The sequence below is a fragment of the Homo sapiens genome, chromosome 1 (genome assembly GCF_000001405.40).
Source record: "Homo sapiens chromosome 1, GRCh38.p14 Primary Assembly".
Taxonomy (NCBI): Eukaryota; Metazoa; Chordata; class Mammalia; order Primates; family Hominidae; genus Homo; species Homo sapiens.
In genome coordinates, this window is record NC_000001.11 from 178,234,576 (window position 1) to 178,255,303 (window position 20,728).

The following is a 20,728-nucleotide window of genomic DNA, read 5'->3' on the forward strand; positions in this document are numbered from 1 at the left end:
AGTGCTTAATTTTTTTAACTGATTGCCTTAAAAATGGTTGACCTTATCTGGTGAACAATTTTGGTTATGACTTGGGGCCTATGTTTTTTAAAAAACCTTAGCACTGGAAGCTTGGTAGTATCTTCATGACCAGCTGAGATCATTTTTTGAGAAGCTCTTACCATTAAGAAAATTTCAGCCTCTCATTATTAGGAGATTGAACGTATCATCAAAGGTTTAAACCCTTTCTAAAACTGTGAGAATTGTTGAAGAATTTTGTTATTGAAATATAATTTAATTTATTTTAAAATAAAGTTGAAGAATGCTAATGAGATCATTTCAGTGAAAACTGAAGTAATTTTCCAAATTAATGTATGCCAAAAATTAAGTATTTTCTATAAACCCTGTCCTCCCTAGATGTTCCTTTGCTCAGTGAATTTTAGTGATACTCTTAAACATATATATTTTCTCCTTACTCTTGGCAAATAGATAATTACCTAGAGGAAAATCTTCCTCCTTGATGTGCCTCTATTAACATTCCATTAAAATTTTTGAAAGACTTGGTTGTTTCAGTTTCTTGGATACTTGTATGTCTGTTTCCTTGCCAGGTGATCATAAGGTGATCAAAGTAAAAGAATGTCAAAGGAAATTAAGAGTTTAAAATCTTACAATCAGTTCCTCTCAATGGTTAGCATGTGTGCATTTGATAAAAGAAGCAATACTTTAAATTTTTGCATTTATAATCATTTTTGGACTTTGATAGTGCACTTTCAGTTTTTAGCAAGTATACCAAGCTATTTTTGACTGTCTACAATGTGTGAGGTGCTGTGAGAAGGTGTCCCTGCATTTTACACATATATGGTCTACTTAAGGAAATATAAAATGTAATAATATGTATATGGAAGCACATACAGAGTTTAAGTTTAAGGTGCTATTTCAAGGAATTTCGATTCCAGTAACGAAAAAACAGTGCATAGTGTCCTACCAGTAACATAACAACATTTATAAAACAGTTACTCCGCTATCTCCTAAGTGCTTCGTGTGCGTGTGTGTGTGTGTGTGTCTGTGTGTGTGTATGGGTATGTATGTGCAAGTGAGGGGGGATTAAGCTCTTAAGACTGAAATGTACTGTTTATTATAAAGACCGGATCAAGTGCCTGTGCAGAGGTCTCCTTTTCTCTTTTGGCAGTAACTTCTTTCTGGCCTAGTGTCTACATCAGTGGTTTTCTAACCTTTTGCAGTTGTGAGCCTTTCTTCATCCCTTATTTCCCACAAGCAAAAGACTACCAAATAACTGACTAGTTTGATTTTCTTATCTAAGAGAAAGTAATTAAAGTTGAATTCACTGAGTTAGCAAATTAAGTGAATTTATAGGCGAGAGCTAGTATCCTAATGAATAAAGTTTCTGAGGCAATTTATTTATTTAAAATCCAAATTATTTGGAAATAATTTTCCAAAAAAGATTATCTAGTTGTTATCCTACTTTCTCCTGCCTACCAGTATTTTTTTAATGCTCATTTTCCAGATACTGGAATTGGAAAGCTATTGATTACCAAACCTTCAGATAACCAGAAGATAGTCTCTTTTGTTCAGATATTAGGTGCAAAGGATCTGACCCAGTGTGGTCATGGTAGCTAATTGTTACATCAGCTATAAAGTTGTTGGTTTTTTAGATTATGCCTAATAATCTTGAGGGCTAAGCTACCCCAACCTATAATAGAATTTATCTCTTCATAAGTATATACTATGATGGTCCTCGTAGAGGTATGATACTGTAATAACCATGTACCTGTCTCTCAGCTTTAGAATTTGCAGTTACACTTGGTTTCCAAAAATCAGAGATTCTGGATTTTAAGAGCTTAGACTAGCCACTAAAAACCTGTAGAATGTCTAATAATCACCCCAAATTTTTACTAGTCAACCAAGTGTTATTTTTTATCCATGTGGCAACTGGGTCATTTCTTTGCTTCTCAAGCCTATAAAGATTAGTAATTCCTTGGTTTTCAGTTGCTCATTGTTTTCCAAGGAAGTCTTAAAAAACAAAGGAAAACAAAAAACAGAAAGGGTTTGCTTTAAGCATTATGATTGGTAGTTTATTTCACTGTTTAAAACTTTAGGGTATAACTTGCACAAAACACTAGGCTTCTCTAGCTTTTACTTATGAGCAAAACTTAATCTGTGATATTTTATATTGGACACTACTTTTTTTTTTTTTTTTTTTTTTTTTGAAACAGAGTCTTGCTCTGTCACCCAGGCTGGAGGCCAGTGGTGCGATCTCGGCTCACTGCAACCTCCGCCTCCCGGGTTCAAGTGGTTCTCCTGCCTCAGCCTCCTGAGTAGCTGGGATTACGGGTGCACAGCACCAAGCCCAGCTAATTTTTGTATTTTTAGTAGAGATGGGGTTTCGCCATGTTGGTCAGGCTGGTCTCGAACTTCTGATCTCAGGTGATCCACCCGCCTCAGCCTCCGAAAATGCTGGAATTACAGGTGTGAGCCAGCGCGCCCAGCCTCCCTGAGTACTTTAAATGCATTTTATCTGGTTTAATCCTCCGAATAATCCTGCGAGGGAGTGTTATTCTCATTTTAAAAGTAAGGAATTAGAGCCTCAGAAAGTTTCAGTTACTTCTCCAAGACTACACAGCTAGTAAGTTGTGGGTCCTAGGTCTCTTATGATTCTGTGCTCCTCCATTTGGGGGCCCACTTTGAACACATGATGTTTGAGAGTTTTTCAGGAACTTGAGAGCATCGCTTCAAGCAGTATTGCGGAATAAAGGGGCAGGAGTTTAGCAGCAGAGGTTAGTTCCCATATGAGGATATACATTTGGAAGCCATCAGCCCATGGACATTGAAGCCACAGGAGTGGGTGAAATCACACAGGCTAGGGATATAGTGGGAGAGTAATGAGAATGTTGAGACTAGCATCCCAGCCTCAACACATCTGGACATCTTATTCCAGTCTAACCAGTGTCTGTTAACAGAGCCAGTGGTTTACGAGTATAGACTTGGAGTTTACCAATGTGGTGGTAACTTTAATATTCTTACTTTTACATATACTTGCATACACACCTTATTTATTTTTGTTTAACAGCTTTTTTGAGATATAACTTACATAACGTATTTCATCTACTTAATACACACAATTCAATTACTTTTTTATTGTGATAGCATGCACATACCAAAAAATTTACCACTTTAACCATTTTTAGGTGTACAGTTCAGTGGCATAAGTAGCTTCACATTGTTGTTCAACCATCACCATCATCCATCTCCAGACTATTTTATCTTCACATACTGAAACTCTGTACCCATTAAACACTAACTCCCCATTCTTGCCTCACCCTAGGCCCTGGTAACCACCATTCTACTTTCTGTCTCTATGAATTCGATTCCCAAGTACCTCATATAAGTGGAATCATAATATTCTTTTGTACAGTTTATTTTTAGTATTTTTACAAAGCTGTACAAGCACACCACAATTTTAGAACATTTTCATTACACCAAATACCTATTAGCAGGCAATTCCTGTTTACCCTTAAAGGTCCCATCCATCAGACCTAGGCAATCAGTAATATACTGTCTCTATAGATTTGCTTATAGATGCTATATAAATGGAATTTTACAATATGTGACATTTTGTGTCTAGCTTCTTTTACTTAGCATAATGGTTTCATGGCTCCTCCATGTTATAGCAGCAGTACTTTCTTTTTATCACTGACTTTCTATTGTATGGATATACTATATTTCATTTATACATTCATCATTTGGTGGACATTTGGGTTGTTTCCACATTTGTGCTATTATTAATTATGCTACTATGAACATTCATGAACAAATTTTTACGTGAACATATGTTTTCATTTCGCCTGGGCATTTACCCTTGTATTTTGCAAACAGTGTATTCTGCCTCCAGAATAATGATTTGGTGTTTTGTGACCTTAAGTCACATTAAATTTTCCATTTGTTATCTGAACATGTAATGGTGCTGCTACTTTATTATTGTTTTATATCCGTGTATTCATTCAGTAAAATATTTCTGTGTGTATGTGTGTATATACACACACACACACACACTTTGATCACCTCAAGTACCTATTAGCAATCACTATATATATATGTAAATAAAATTTTAGTCTTAGTCAAATACCTTCTGTAGTTAGTAATTTCCCACACCTCTGCTCAAAATATAAATATAGTTCAATGTGATCTAGAGTTTTCAACTGGTAGCTTGATTACAATGAACAGTATGATTTGTCTGCATTTCCAGGATGATTGTCATCCTGGAATGATTTATCTGCCTCAGGCAAGTTTTTATTTGGTTTCTCACACTCAAGGCCAGTTTGTCTTTGTGAGGAAGCAAAGAGAAGAGTAAGATGAGTAATGACTCTGGATCTATGATTATGAAACCGTATCCTTATGAGTACACAGGTTCTTAGTGACTGAGCTTGAGTCAGTTAACCACAGGTATTTTTCCTGTCATTCTCATGTGGAATTTTCATTGAAATGTCTTAAAAAAATTTTGCCTCTAATTTCTGGATTTAAGGATGATTACTTATTCACCTTTACAAAGTAGAAACCCTATTCTATCTATGTTTTTAGATTTTGTCACCAAAATGTCAAAATAGTTTGAATCTTAAGGGATATTGATTCATATAATTTAGCATAGTATATAACCATAACCTTGGTCAAACTAAAGAGTATTTTGAAAGCTATGTGTGTGGTTTGTTGTTCTGAAGTAAAGTGGTATCTGGTGGTTAGAACATAAGAGTTACTGTCAGCATTTGTGGGTTTTCTTCCCAGATCCAAGCTTTTTTAAAAGGAAAGTCAGAGTCCATGCCTGTTGTATGTTTAGTGCAATGGTTTACATACTGTAGATATATTGTAAATACTAGTGAAGATGTTATACAACTGGCAGAATAATATGCAATAAATCACTCACAATATGTGTAAAATAATGATAGTTGTCACTGGTACTTAGTGATTCTATTATTTAATAAATCTTTCTTTGAGAAAGGCATGATTACTGTTTCCAAGTAGTAGTGTGGTATTTTAAGCAACTTATAATAAACATTTTTAGTTCAAAGTGGTTAGACATTACTCTCTATCCAAGGGACTTTTGAGGACACTACCTCATGGACACCATCCATATATCACAGTAGTACATGCCAGAATCTAAGAGTAAGGAATACGTTTAAGATTGTGTGATGATTCTAATATGTGGACACGTTAGGCACTGATACTCTAGTATTTAAGTTTTATTTACCTCTATCCTCTTGATGGCATCCTAAACCATGGTTCTTAAAGCTTGAGCTGGATGGAGGTGTTCTGCCCCTGAAATAAGGTAATAAAGGTATTTTCCTAGCTTATTAAAAACAGATGAATGGTATTTTTATTTAAAATTTTTATTTTATAAATTTTTTAACATTGTGGTGCCTTGCTATCCCTTAGCCTATAATAAAACATAAAATATTTGCCTTTACACAGATTTTTATACTTGATTATTTTGTCTTTAATATAAACTTTTGTAATTACTTTTTGCCCTGTGATGTAACATTAGGGCATTGCTTTTCAAGCACAGTGTTTTATGAACATATGTTGTCCACAGTGAACAAGGTCAGTTGCTAGTGGAAATTATGGAGTTGCTGGCTTACTAATCCTCTCTAGCCTATTATTTCAATTTATTGGACTGTTAGTGATACCGCAGATATTGTTATTAGTCCCTAGATGTAGACAGTATTTCTTTGAATAATGCTTTCCTGTTCATAGAATTCTAGATGTATCATTTTGTTTAGCCAAAAGGAACTTAATACTTTCCTGTAAACCCTATCACTTCAGATGTTAGTGTTTATTGTATTTCTTTACCAATAAAGAACATTCATTTAAACACAATAGGTCCATTTTCTTATTTTTATCCAGTTTTTTTTTCTTAGCCTTAGACTTTATTTTAAATACAAGAATATAAAGGGATGTTTTATCCAAAAGCAAATGGCATTGAAAAAAGACCACTTTAAATTATTTAAAGCAAGTGTCAAATTTTCATAGTAAATAATGTATACATGTGTTGCTGGAGAGGATATTGGGAATTTATCTTAAATGAAAATTTATGAAAATAAACTTTTTAGTCTTTTAAACAAAATTTACATTATAATTGTAACTATATACTAGTTATTAAAATAAAGTTATTAAGCTAATTATTAACAACTTTTTGTGGTATTTTTCCCTGAACAAAATTGTGTGACTGCAAATCAATATCCTTCACTTCACATTTTACTTTGGAGAATTATTTTATTATAATGTTTTTTAGGAAAATTATTGGAAGATTTTGTTAGTTTTTAAGGTTCCTTTTTATTTCTATTATAATTATTTTATTTATACATATTTTTATTTTTATTCATGACTTTTTTATTGATTAGAAACATAAGCCCTCTGGTGTATCCTACTGTCACATTGTTCTAATTGACCAGTGTGGTTTTTAAATAAGAGTGCAGAATATAAAGTATGAGGTGGAATTTTGAGGAAAATGATTTATAAATAAAATTTTAAAATAGGATGAATTTATGAATACACTTGAATATTTAGGTTTTGACATTTATGCTTCTTTCTGGTGTGCTATATAATTACAACTTAAATACCCTAAATGAGTATTATTGATGTGATTCATATACTTGAGATAAGTACACAGAATGTTGAGTCACTGTATGAAAGAATGAAAGAATGAAGAGCTGTTTATATACAGATATGGAAAGATCTCCAAGCTGTGTTAGGAAATAAGCTACAAAAGTACTATATGTTTCTTTTGGTTCTTTGTAATTTTCAATCTCTTTCACGTGTGTTGCTAGTATATTGTGGAGAAAGTAATAAGTTCACTTTATGTGTGAGGAGAAATACTTTAGGGGTACATATTAAATTTCCATGGGTAAGCTCTTTTCTCATCTTTTAAGGCAGCTGTGGATTTGGAAATGGAGAGTCAGTCTGAGAATCAAACTTGAATCCTCCACTGATCTGATATCTCTATCCATCTTTAATTTAACTAGAATACATTGAGCCTTGATCATGAGCATCAGGATTAAATAACATTTACATAATACTTCACCTTCCTCTCTCAGAAATGGATGACCAAAGTATTGCACTCAGAAGGGTGTGCAAAGGTGTGCAGATGACATACCAACTTATCAGTATATTATCTTGGACAAACTTACTCTTCATTTGGCTGTTAAATGCAGGAAATAATAGTACAGATTAATTCTCCCCCTTCCACAAATACGTACATATATGCATGCAAAGAAGTGTATGCAGAGGCCATGGCTGTTGCTTAGTCTGGAAAGCTTTTTCAATCTGAAGGCTCTGTCTTCTCTTGCTATGGTGGTGTTTACCTCTAGCTCTCTCTTCAATTCAATTTTTTGCTCATGCAGGGAGCACTGGTCAGAGCACAAGGATGGAGAACTGCTTTATTTCACCCTCAGGTTTGTTTCTTGATTTATTTATAGTATTTTTGAGTGTATCTCTTTGGGTAGTTTTCTTAGTGGTTGCTATAGGTATTACAGTATTCATATGTGACATCACAGTTTATTTTTATCAACATTTTACTACTCTGAGTAAATGTCAGGTAGTAAACTCTCCATTTACACCCTCTGCCTTCCCCACTTTTAAGTATCATTGTCTTTGAATATTGGATGGTGTTCTAATTATTGCTTCAATTAGTATATATGGTTTATAAAACTCATGAGGATACTTACACGTTCCCATATTTCTGCTTCCTTCCTGATACTCTTAATATTTTAGCATATCTTTTAACATATCTTTTCTCTTTGAAGAACTCCCTTTAGCCATTCTTTATGCATAGGTCTGCTAATGACAATTTTTATAATTCATTCTCTCTCTCTCTCTCTCTCTCTCTCTCTCTCTCTCTCTCTCTCTCTCTCTCTCTCTCTTTCATCTCTCTCTCTTGTCTCTCTCTCTCCCCACTCCTGGGCTCAAGCAGTCCTCCACCCTCGGCTTCTTAAAGTGCTGTGATGGGATTATAAGTGTGAGCCACCAATGCCTGGCCCACTTACATTCTTGAATCTGTAGGTTTACGTCTTTTGCCAAATTTAGGAAGTTTTCACCATTATTTCTTTGAATACCCTTTTAGCTCTACTTTCTTCTCTCCTAGATCTCTGGTGATACAGATGTTGGATCTTATTTATTTATGTTTGAGACAGGACCTTACTCTGCCACCCAGGCTGGAGTGAGTGGTGCCATCAAAGCTCACTGCAGCCTTGACCTTCCAGGCTCAAGCGATCCTCACACCTCAGTCTCCTGAGTAGCTCTGTAACTTCTATTTCTTTTATAAGGTTTTTTTCTTAATTTGTTTCCAGATAATTTCTAATTGATTCTGAAGCATTTTATGACATGCAATTTAAACTTCTCAGATAATTTTAATGTCTGATTTTTCTCAGTTGATTGTCTTTTTTCATTCAAGTTGAGATTTTCCTGGTTCTTGGTGTGTTGATTTTTTAAAAATTTATTGAATCTTGAACATTTTGGTTATTATGCTAGGGAACTCTGGGTTTTATTTAGATCTTTTATTTTAGCAGGGAGTTGCCCTACTCAAGTTTAGCATGCAGCTCCAAGCCTACAGTAGTGAGCTGTGCTTCCAGTGACAATTTAATTTTCAGAGATTTTGCAGTACTATTTTTGTCTGCTTAGTTTAGCTGGAGTTCCTACCGATCCCTGCTGGTGCTGCCCAAAGCAGGGAATGAGCTTCCCCAGGATAGGCCATCTGGTGCCTCTAGGAGGCAGAAGGGAATCTCTGGCCCATTGGGGAAAATGAGGCTTCTTGGGTTTTGGCAGGACCTCCCAGCCTGTGAAAATGAGGAACACTTCCCAGCCTGAGCCCTGGTTGTGGTGCATCCCCCTTTCTGTTATCCACCTGGCTACCTGAATCTCTCACTGGGGAAGGGGAGTCCCAGATCTGGAGGGGAAGAAGAATGCTTTCCCTGGCTGCTTATTGTCTGTTGGCCTCCCCATCATTACCCCTTGCTAGTGATGCTAGGCTTGCTTGTTGTTATCAAAAAAAAAAAAAAAAATGACAACAACAAAATAAATAGCCCCAGGTATTTTCTGTTCCTAGGTTTGAGGTCAGGCCTGGGTTGCCTTCTTTTAATGGATTGGGAGGCAGGGTCCTCAGATGTCCTGCCACTATTTTGGTCCTCCTTGTCCTAGGGCCCCTAGCAAATCAGCCATTTTTCTTTTTACAGAGTTCTTCTATGACTGTCTTTTGTATTATTTCAAAATTTTGTCATATTTAGTGAGGAGCAGTTGGGAGAAACGAGTCTACACCATCTTGTCTGGCCCAAGACTTTTTCTTAATCTTTTGTTATTCATATCATTTTCATTTAGAGTGCCTAGCTTGTCATCATCCATGTCAAATATCTGCAGTTGTTGAATGGTATAACTCTTCTATTCCTCACTTATTAGTGCTTTTTACATGGAATCTGAGCACTTTTCCAACGTCACTTTCATTGGCTCTGTGAAATTTTATCTTTTTGCAAGATTAGCAATTTAACCCTTCAGTCAGTTTGCACTTATACAGTATTCAGCAATGATCAAAAAGGTACTGGGATGGATAGTATTCAAGTGGGGATAGTATTAAGTTGTATAAGGGGTCAGTTCACTAAGGAATATTTTTGTACTTGGTAAACTTTTATTTCATTTTTTTTTTCTTTTTGAGAAGGAGTCTCGCTCTGTCACCCAGGCTGGACTGCAGTGGTGCGATCTTGGCTCACTGCAACCTCTGCCTCTCGGGTTCAAGTGATTCTCCTACCTCAGCTTCCCAAGTACCTGGGACTACAGGCGCGTGCCACCACGCCCGGCTAATTTTTGTATTTTTAGTAGAGATGGGGTTTCACCATATTGGTCAGGCTGGTCTTGAACTCCTGACCTTGTAATCCACCCGCCTCGGCCTCCCAAAGTGCTGGGATTACAGGCGTGAGCCACTGTGCCCAGCCTATTTCTTCTTTAAAATTTTGTTTTATTTTTATTGTACTTTAAGTTCTGGGATATATGTGCTTAATGTGCAGGTTTGTTACATAGGTATACATGTGCCATGGTGGTTTGCTGCACCTATCAACCTGTCATCTATGTTTTAAGCCCCACATGCGTTAGATATTTGTCCTAATGCTCTCCTTCCCCTTTCCCCTCATCCCCCAACAGGCCCCGGTGTGTGATGATCCCCTCCCTATGTCCATGTGTTTGCATTGTTCAACTCCCACTTATGAGTGAGAACATGCAGTGTTTGGTTTTCTGTTCCTGTGTTAGTTTGCTGAGGGTGATGGTTTCCAACTTCATCCGTGTCCCTCCAAAGGACATGAACTCGTTCTTTTTCATGGCTGCTTAGTATTCCATGGTGTATATGTGCCACGTTTTCTTTATCCAGTCTATCATTGATGGGCATTTGGGTTGGTTCCAAGTTTTTGCTATTGTAAATAGTGCTGCAATAAACATATATGTGCATATGTCTTTATAGTAGAATGATTTATAATCCTTTGGGTATATACCCAGTAATGGGATTGCTGGTTCAAATGGTATTTCTGGTTCTAGATCCTTGAGGAATCGCCACACTGTCGTCCACAATGGCTGAACTAATTTACACTGCCACCAACAGTGTAAAAGCGTTCCTATTTCTCCGCATCCTCGCCAGCATCTGTTGTTTCCAGACTTTTTAATGATCACCATTCTAACTGGCATGAGATGGTATTTCATTGTGGTTGTAATTTGCATTTCTCTAATGACCAGTGATGATGAGCTTTTTTTCATATGTTTGTCAGCTCCATAAATGTCTTCTTTTGAGAAGTGTCTGTTCATATCCTTCACCCACTTTTTGATGGGGTTGTTTTTTTCTTGTAAATTTGTTTAAGTTCCTTGTAGATTCTGGGTATCAGTTCTTTGTCAGATGGGTAGATTACAAAAATTTTCTCCCGTTCTGTAGGTTGCCTATTCACTCTGATGATAGTTTCTTTTGCTGAGCAGAAGCTCTTTAGTTTAATTAGATCCCATTTGTCAGTTTTGGCTTTTGTTGCAGTTGCTTTTGGTGTTTTAGTCATGAAGTCTTTGCCTATGTCCTGAATGATATTGCCTAGGTTTTCTTCTAGGGTTTTTACGGTTTTAGGTTTTACATTTAATTATTTAATCCATCTTGAGTTAATTTTTGTGTGAGGTGCAAGGAAGGGGTCCAGTTTCTGTTTTCTGCATACGGCTAGCCAGTTTTCCCAGCACCATTTGTAAAATACGGAATCCTTTCCCCATTGCTTTTTTTGGTCAGGTTTGTCAAAGATCAGATGGTTGTAGATGTGTGGTGTTATTTCTGACACCTCTGTTCTGTTGCATTGGACTATATATCTGTTTTGGTACCACTACCATGGTGTTTGGTTACTGTAGCCTTGTAGTATAGTTTGAAGTCGGGTAGCATGATGCCTCCAGCTTTGTTCTTTTTGCTTAGGATTGTCTTGGCTATACAGGCTCTTGTTTGGTTCCATATGAAATTTAAAGTCATTTTTTCTAGTTCTGTGAAGAAAGTCAGTGGTAACTTGATAGGAATAGCATTGAATTTATAAATTACTTTGGGCAGTATGGTCATTTTCACGATATTGATTCTTCCTATCCATGAGCATGGAATTTTTTTCCATTTGTTTTTGTCCTCCCTTATTTCCTTGAGCAGTGGTTTGTAGTTCTCCTCGAAGAGGTCCTTCACATCCCTTGTAAGTTGTATTCCTAGGTATTTTACTTTCTTTGTAGCAATTGTGAATGGGAGTTCATTCAGGATTTGACTCTCTGCTTGTCTATTATTGGTGTGTAGGAATACTTGTGATTTTTGCACATTGATTTTGTATCCTGAGAATTTGGTGAAGTTGTTTATCAGCTTAAGGAGTTTTGGGGCTGAGACGATGGGATTTTCTAAATATACAATCATGTCGTCTGCAAACAGAGACAATTTGACTTCCTCTCTTCCTATTTGAATACCCTTTATTTCTTTCTCTTGCCTGATGCTCTGGCCAGAACTTCCAACACTATGTTGAATCGGCGTGGTGAGAGAGGGCATCCTTGTCTTGTGCTTGTTTTCAAAGGGAATGCTTCCAGTTTTTGCCCATTCAGTATGATATTGGCTGTGGGTTTGTCATAAATAGCTCTTATTATTTTGAGATATGTTCCATCAATACCTAGTTTATTGAGAGTTTTTAGCATGAAGGGGTTTTGAATTTTATCAAAAGCTTTTTCTGCATCTATTGAGATAATCATATGGTTTTTGTCATTGGCTCTGTTTATGTGATGAATTACGTTTATTGATTTGCATATGTTGAACCAGCCTCTCATCACAGGGATGAAGCTGCCTTGATTGTGGTGGATAAGCTTTTCGATGTGCTGCTGAATCAGTTTGCCAGTATTTTATTGAGGATTATCACATCGATGTTCATCAGGGATATTGGCCTGAAATTTTCTTTTTTTGTTGTGTCTTGGCCAGGTTTTGGAATCAGGATGATGCTGGCCTCATAAAATGAGTTATGGAGAAGTCCCTCTTTTTCTGTTGTTTGGAACAGTTTCAGAAAGAATTGTACCAGCTCCTCTTTGTACCTCTGGTAGAATTCGGCTGTGGATCCATCTGGTCCTGGGCTTTTTTTTGTTGGTAAGCTATTAATTACTGCCTCAGTTTCAGAACTTGTTATTGGTCTATTCAGGGATTTGACTTCTTCCTGGTTTAGTCTTGGCAGGGTGTGTGTGTCTAGGAATTTATCCATTTCTTCTAGAATTTCCGTTTTTTTTGCATACAGGTGTTTATAGTATTCTCTGATGGTAGTTTGATGGTAGTTTATATTTCTGTGGGATCAGTGATGATATCCCCTTTATGATTTTTTATTTTGTCTATTTGATTCTTCTCTCTTATTAGTCTATCTAGTAGTCTATCTATTTTGTTAATCTTTTCAGAAAACCAGCTCCTGGATTCATTTATTTTTTGAAGAGTTTTTCGTGTCTCTATCTCCTTCAGTTCTGCACTGATCTTAGTTATTTATTGCCTTCTGCTGGCTTTTGAATTTGTTTTCTCTTGCTTCTCTAGTTCTTTTAAGTGTGATGTTAGGGTGTTGATTTTAGATCTTTCCCACTTTCTGATATGGGCATTTAGTACTATAAATTTCCCTCTTAACACTGCCTTAGCTGTATCCCAGAGATTCTGGTATGTTGTGTCTTTATTCTCATTGGTTTCAAAGAACTTCGTTATCTCTACCTTAATTTCGTTATTTACGCAGTAGTCATGCAGGAGCAGGTTGTTCAGTTTCCATGTAGTTGTGTGGTTTTGAGTGAGTTTCTTAATCCTGAGTTCTAATTTGATTGCATTGTGGTCTGAGAGGCTGTTTGTTATGATTTCCATTCTTTTGCATTTACTGAGGAGTGTTTTACTTCCAATTATGTGGTCAATTTTAGAATAAGTGCTGTGTAGTGCTGAGAAGAATGTATATTCTGTTGAGTTGGGGTGGAGAGTTCTGTAGATGTCTATTAGGTCCACTTGGTCCAGAGCTGAGTTCAAATCCTGAATATCCTTGTTAATTTTCTGTCTCGTTGATCTGCTTAATATTGACAGTGGGGTGTTAAAATCTCCAACTATTATTGTGTGGGAGTCTAAGTCTCTTCGTAGATCTCTGATAACTTGCTTTATGAATCTGGTTGCTCCTGTATTGACTGCTTATATATTTAGGATAGTTAGCTCTTCTTGGTGCATTCATCCCTTTACCATTATGTAATGCCCTTCTGTGTCTTTTTTGATCTTTGTTGGTTTAAAGTCTGTTTTATCAGGGACTAGGATTGCAACCCTGCTTTTTTTGCTTTCCATTCCCTTTATTTTGAGCCCATGTGTGTCTTTGCATGTGAGATAGGTCTCCTGAATACAGCATATCGATGGGTCTTGACCCTTTATCTAGTTTACCGGTTTGTGCCTTTTAACTGAGACATTTAGCCCATTACATTTAAGGTTAATATCGTTAGTATGTGAATTTGATCCTGTCATCATGATGCTAGCTGATTATTTTGCACATAAGTTGATGCAGTTTCTTTATAGTGCTGTTCTTTATATTTTGTTATGTTTTTGCAGTAATTGGTACCAGTTTTTCCTTTCCATATTTAGTGCTTCCTTCAGGAGCTCTTGTAAGGCCTTGTGGTGACAAAATTTCTCAGCATTTGCTTGTCTGTAAAGGATTTTATTTCTCCTTCATTTATGAAGCTTAGTTTAGCTGGATATGAAATTCTGGGTTGAAAATTCTTTTCTTTAAGAATGTTGACTATTGGCCCCCACTCTCTTCTGGCTTGTAGGGTTTCTGCCAAGAAATCTGCTGTTAGTCTGATGGGCTTCCCTTTGTAGGTAACCTGACCTTTCTCTCTGGCTGCCCTTAACATTTTTTCCTTCATTTCAACTTTGGAGAATCTGATGATTATGTGTCTTCGGGTTGCTCTCCTCAAGGAGTATCTTTGTGGTGTTCTTTGTATTTCCTGAATTTGAATGTTAGCCTGTCTTCCTAGGTTGGGGAAGTTCTCCTGGATAATACCCTAAAGTGTGTTTTCCAACTTGGTTCCATTCTCTCTGTCACTTTCAGGGACCCCAATCAAGCATAGGTTTGGTCTTTTCACATAGTCCCATATTTCTTGGAGGCTTTGTTCGTTCCTTTTCATTCTTTTTTCTCTAATCTTGTCTTCACGTGTTATTTCATTAAGTTGTTCTTCAATCTCTGATATCCTTTCTTCTGCTTGATCGATTCAGCTATAGATACTTGTGTATGCTTCACGAAATTCTCGTGCTGTGTTTTTCATCTCCATCAGGTCATTTATGTTCTTCTCTAAACTGGTTATTCTAGTTAGCAGTTCCTGTAACCTTTTGTCAAGGTTCTTAGCTGCCTTGCATTGGATTAGAACATGCTCCTTTAGCTCAGAGGAGTTTGTTATTACCCACCTTCTGAAGCCTACTCCTGTCAGCTCGTCAAACTCATTCTCTGTCCAGTTTGGTGCCCTTGCTGGACAGGAGTTGTGATCATTTGGAGAAGAGGCATTCTGGTTCTTGGAATTTTCAGCATTTTTGCTCTGGTTTTTCCTCATTTTCGTGGATTTATCTACCTTTGATCTTTGAGTCCAATGACCTTTGGATGGGTTTTCTGTATGGGTCGTTTTTGTTGATTTTGATATTGCTTCCTGTTTGTTAGTGTTTGATTTTGATATTGCTTCCTGTTTGTTAGTGTTTCTTCTAACAGGCCTCTCTTCTGCAGATCTGCTCCAGTTTGCTGGAGGTCCACTCCAGACCGTTTGCCTGGTTATCACCAGCGGAAGCTGCAGAACAGCAAAATTGCTACCTGTTCCTTCCTCTGGAAGCTTCGTCCCAGAGGGGCACCAGCCTGATGCCGGGGCTCTTCTGTATGAAGGGTCTGTCAACCCCTGTTGTGAGGTCTCTCCCACTCAGGAGGCTTGGCGGTCAGGGACCCACTTGAAGAGGCAGTCTGTCCCTTAGCAGAGCTTGAGTATTGTGCTGGAAGGGCCCTCTTTGTCAGGATCCCCTTGCTCTCTTCAGAGCTAGTAAGCTGGAACGTTTATGTCTGCTGAAGCTGCGCCCACAGCCGCCCCTTCCCCCAGGGTGCTCTGTCCCAGGGAGATGGGAGTTTTATCAATAAGCCTCTTACTGGGGCTGCTGCCTTTCTTTCAGAGATGACCTGCCCAGTGAAGAGGAATCTAGAGAGACAGTCAGGCCACAGCCACATTGCTGTGCTGTGTTGAGTTCTGCCCAGTCCAAACTCCCAGGCCTCCTTAGCACTGTCAGGGGAAAACCGCCTACTCAAGCCTCAGCAATGGCGGACGCCCCAACCCCACCAAGCTTGATCATCCCAGGTCGACTTCAGACTGCTGTCCTGGCAGCAAGAATTTCAAGCCAGTGGTTCTTAGCTTGCTGAGCTGTTTGGGAGTGGGACTCGCTGATCGAGACCACTTGGCTCCCTGGCTTTAGCTGCCTTTCCAGGAGAGTAAACAGTGCTGTCTTGCTGGGGTTCCAGGCGCCACTCAGTTGGAAATGCAGAAATCACCCGCCTTCTGCGTTGGTCTCGCTGGGAGCTGCATACCAGAGCTGTTCCTATTAGGTCATCTTGCCAGATCCAGAAAACCTTATTTCTTTATAAAAGTTTACAACTATGGGGACTGCAGTGAACACTTATAAGCAAACACCTTACTATATATATATGTGTGTCCTTACACTGTGTTTGCTTAGTCACGTTATTTTGAAATTTAAAGACCATAAAGTCTTCGAATCAAATGTACTTATTTTACAGATGAGTAAAATAAAGTCACAGGGGTACTGTGAGGCTTACATGAGGATGTAAAGCTCTTAGTACAGTCAAGGGCTAGCTAGCATTTAGTAAGTGTCATGTTTGCTGCTACTGTTAATAACTTTTGTTACTATTTTGTAAAATTCTAAGATCAGAGAAAGCAAGAGTGAAGTGAGGTCTGATAGTTTTTGTAGGAAACTAAGAATCAGGAGTTTAGGGTTCCATTTCTGTTTTGTTCCTGACTCACTTGGACTCTTTGGGAAACTGGTTAACCTTTTCGTGTCTAAATCTAGCCATCTAAAGCTAGGAGAATCTTGCCATCTGCCTACGTCATGGGAGATCGTAAAGAAAATGATGGAAAATGCTTTACATCTGTGGGAGAAAGGTACTATGTAAGCTTATAACTTTGTTCTCTCCATTGACAATAACTTGCTCATACAATCTTTAAAAATCTGCTTAACTAGCAATCCAAAATTACTGTATATGTGCAATGTGGGAGTGTTGATGCTTCCGTTAGAACACTCCCTTTTGTGATTTCCTCATCACTTAAGAAATGTAGATACTTGCTGCCACAGTATACTAAAACTATATGTAAAAATCAGTATATGTAAATTATAGTTAATGACTGAACATAATTCCTCATTTATCTACATAGTTTTAATTGAAATGAGCTTTGGTACTTTTTAAAGGAAAGAAAAAGGATGAAAGTGGGGACAGGGAATGGTTGATTAATTACAGTGATAAAACATGGGCTAGAACCTTGAAAGATCATGTAGCCTGTCCTGCCACAGTAGAATTGTATGTTAATTCAGTTCAATAATTATTGATCAAGTGGCTACTATGTGTATGGCACATTAAAAAAGTAAAACAGTCTTTTTCTTCAGATGCTTATCAGTCTAGTAGGGAAAGTAAAAACATAACTATTTACTTTATTCTTTCATCCTCATTAATGAATTAGCCTTGTAAAGATGGTTGCAAATATAGTCAGTGCTTGAAATAGAATGTTATGTAAATTTTAACTATTTTAAATTAGCTACAGTTAACTAAATGTTTATATATAAGTCTCTAAGTGTCAGATGGTCAGATCAGAAAAGATATACACATAAAGGTTTCAGATTTGCCAAATTCATTTCTGGTTGGGGTCCAAAAACATTGAAAAATTATGTTATTTAAGAGAATAAAGTGCTTGAAAAATTTTATAAACTGAAAATTTATGTGGGGGTGGAGGAAATTTTTGTTCTAATTTCCTCGTAATCCACTTTGAGATTATGATTGAGCCTGAATGAGTTTTATTTTAAAATTAATTCTGAGGAATTTAATTCAATATTTTAAAATAAAATTATGTGGAAAAATATATTCTAAACCTATTAATTTTGCATTTTACATTGAAATAATAAAAATCCAGGGGTAAATTATGAATATGCAGATAGTATACTCACTCTGAAATCTCACTATTCACTTATACTAGGAAGGAAATGTTGGAATAGGAGGAGATGTAATCTATCTCAGCAGTATGGCAATATGAACATTAATATTTATGTAAAATGTTAACATTTTGTTTTTTGATGTTTATAGTTGTATGGAGATTAGAAAATAAAAAATTTATTTTGTTTTTAAGAAAAGAGTACTTTCAGGCTGATGGTGTGATGCTTTGGAATTGGCAGTCTAGTTCTTTATATTTTTGTTTCAGTTGCAGATCCCTAAAATGCTACTAAAGAAAGAGAAATGAAATAGAAATGAAATCATTAAGATCAGAATACAGTTTTTGGCCTATAAAGCTCAAGGAGGAATCTTTAGATATGAATTAAAGGGAAAAACTTTATAATGATAGTTAGAAAAGGGTCTGATGCAAGAAAATCCTGAAATCAAAATCTACCATCTGATTGGATAATCCAGAAATCAAGTGACCATCTTTAACACCTTGCTTTCCCTGTCACTAAATCCAGTTCGTCAGCAATTCTTATTCTTTTTGCCACCTAAATATTTCTCTATTACAACCTTCGTTTATCTCTCCCCCGACTATATTGGTCTCAATCTACCAGTAACTGGTAAACCTTGCCTGGATTACCGTAGCAGCCTCTGTATTCATTTTCTAGGACTGCTGTAAGAAATTACCACAAAGAGGTAGCTTAAAGCAATAGAAATTTATTCTCTCTCAGTTCAGGAGGCTAGAAGCTTAAAATCTAGGTGTCAGCAGGGTTGGTTCTTTCTCAAGACTCTGAGGGAAAATCTGTTTCATGCCTCTCTCCTTGTTTCTGGTGGTTGCTGACAGTCTTTGGTGTTTCTTGGCATTCAGCTTCATCACCTTAATTTCTGTCTCCGGTGTCACATGGCTGCCTTATTTGTGTGTCTCTTCTGTGACTTCAAATTTTTCTTTTATTATAATGATTTGGGTGATTAGATTTCAGACTCACCGTACTCCAATATGACTTTACCTTAACTTAATTACGTCTGCAATGACCCATATTTTCAAATAGGGTCACAATCGCAGATACCAAGGGCCATAACTTTAACATACTTTTGGGGGGCATACAATTCAACCTGTTACAGCTTCTAAGCAAAAGTGTCCCTATATTTGAGATTTTTTTGAGTCAATTGTCTGTATGTAGTTTCACTCGTGTCAGTGTGAAGAGACCACCAAACAGGCTTTGTGTGAACAATAAGGCTGTTTATTTCACCTGGGTGCAGGCGGGTGAGTCCGAAAGAGAGTCAGTGAAGGGAGATAGGGGTGGGGCTGTTTTATAAGATTTGGGTAGGTAAAGGAAAATTACAGTCAAAGGGGTTGTTCTCTGGCGGGCATGGGTGGGGGTCACAAGGTGCTCATTGGGGGAGCTTTCTGAGCCAGGATGAGCCAGGGAAAGGAATTTCACAAGGTAATGTCATCAGTTAAGGCAAGGACCTTCCATTTTCACTTCTTTTATGGTGGAATGTCATCAGTTAAGGCAGGAACAGGCCATTTTCACTTCTTTTGTGATTCTTCACTTGCTTCGGGCCATCTGGTCACAGGGGATATGATGGCTTAGCTTGGGCTCAGAGGCCTGACTTGTAGCCAGAATGATCTTTCAAAGAGACAAATCCGATCCTGTAAGTCTTCTATTCAAAACTATCCAATGGTTGTCCATTCTTTTTGAAATTAGGCTTAAAATTTATAACACACTCTGGCCTCTGCTTCTCAAGCTTTACTTGGAGCCATTCGTCTCCATCATATTTCTGCTCCAATGACTGGCCTACTTTCAGTTCCCAGAATGTGCCATGTTCCTTTTCACCTCAAGTCAAATGCTGTTGTCTCTGTGTGAGATCTTTTGCTGCTCCTTCTTCCCCATCATTTTATTCTTCTGGGTAATGTCTATTTATCCTTCAGAGCTCAATTCAAATGTCACTTTCTTAGAGAAATGTGCCCTGATCCCCAAAACTAGATTAAGTCTCCCCATATTATATACTCATAATATTTTGTACGTTTCATATATCATAACTGTAATTACATGCACAGGGTCTTTAAAAGTTAATGTCTGGATTATGTCAACTTTTGGCATTGCAGTCTATCTGCTGATCCATTTCTCAGTGAAATTATTGAAACTTATAAAGAAAACAGTTATTTTAAAGCCTTTGGAAATGGTCATAAAGGCATACAATAAATGAAGAAAAACCTACAAAAGTTCAAGAAAACTTAGAAAAATATGCTAAGAAAAAGCAAGAGTCTGTAATACTTGAAACTGCTCCTGACCTCCCACTACTGAGCTCACTGAGACTGTTGCAACCAAATCTTGGCAACCAAGCCAAGAACACAAGGCTCCATCTTTCCTCAGCTCCTTGTTGGAATTCTTTCTTCTCAGGAATACAGAAGGAGAGGAGAGAGAGAAAGAAACAGAAAAATATTCAAAGAAACAGTAGCAGAGAACTCCCCCAATTTATTGAAAAACAATAAGCTGCACAGCCAGAAAGCTCAGTGAACTCCAAGTAGGATAAACACAAAGAAATTCATAGGCACATAATAATAAAAATACTGTCAGTCAAGTACAAGGAGAAAATCTTGAAATCAGCTACAGAAAAACCACTCATTATTTACAAGGAAGCTCCAGTGAGATTAACATCTTCTCTGTGGGGGAAAAAAAAAGGAAGCCAGGAGACAATAGGATAACATACTGAAAGTACTCCGGAAAAAATCCAAAAAAACCCAAAAAAACTGTCAACCAAACATCTTATGTCTAACAAAGCTATCTTTGTTGAGATATAAGCAAAATCAGAATGATATAAAGATATTTCCAGAGAAACAAAAACTGAGACAAATTGTCACCAGCAGACTTGCCGTAGAGGAAATACTAAAGGAAGTTCTTCAGGCTGAAAGCAAGTAACTCCAGACAGTAATTCAAATCCAAATGAAAAAAAACAAAGAGCTCCAGTAAAGCTAATTATGTAATTTTAAAAGA

At 37.1% G+C, this 20,728-nt stretch overlaps 1 protein-coding gene across 9 annotated transcripts in view; it reads left to right on the top strand.

Annotated features, from left to right (window-relative positions):
- The window catches only part of RASAL2 (RAS protein activator like 2), a 384,747-nt gene that overhangs the window by 140,472 nt on the left and 223,547 nt on the right, over positions 1–20,728 (top strand). Inside the window, exon 1 of one of the 9 annotated variants that reach the window (XM_017002853.2) lies at positions 15,675–16,686. The exons of the other annotated variants lie outside the window; for them this stretch is intronic. Within the exon in view, the coding sequence (XP_016858342.1) occupies positions 16,653–16,686 (34 nt within the window). The 5' untranslated portion in view covers positions 15,675–16,652. Of the gene's footprint in view, positions 1–15,674; positions 16,687–20,728 lie in introns of those variants that run through there. 9 annotated transcript variants of the gene reach the window in all.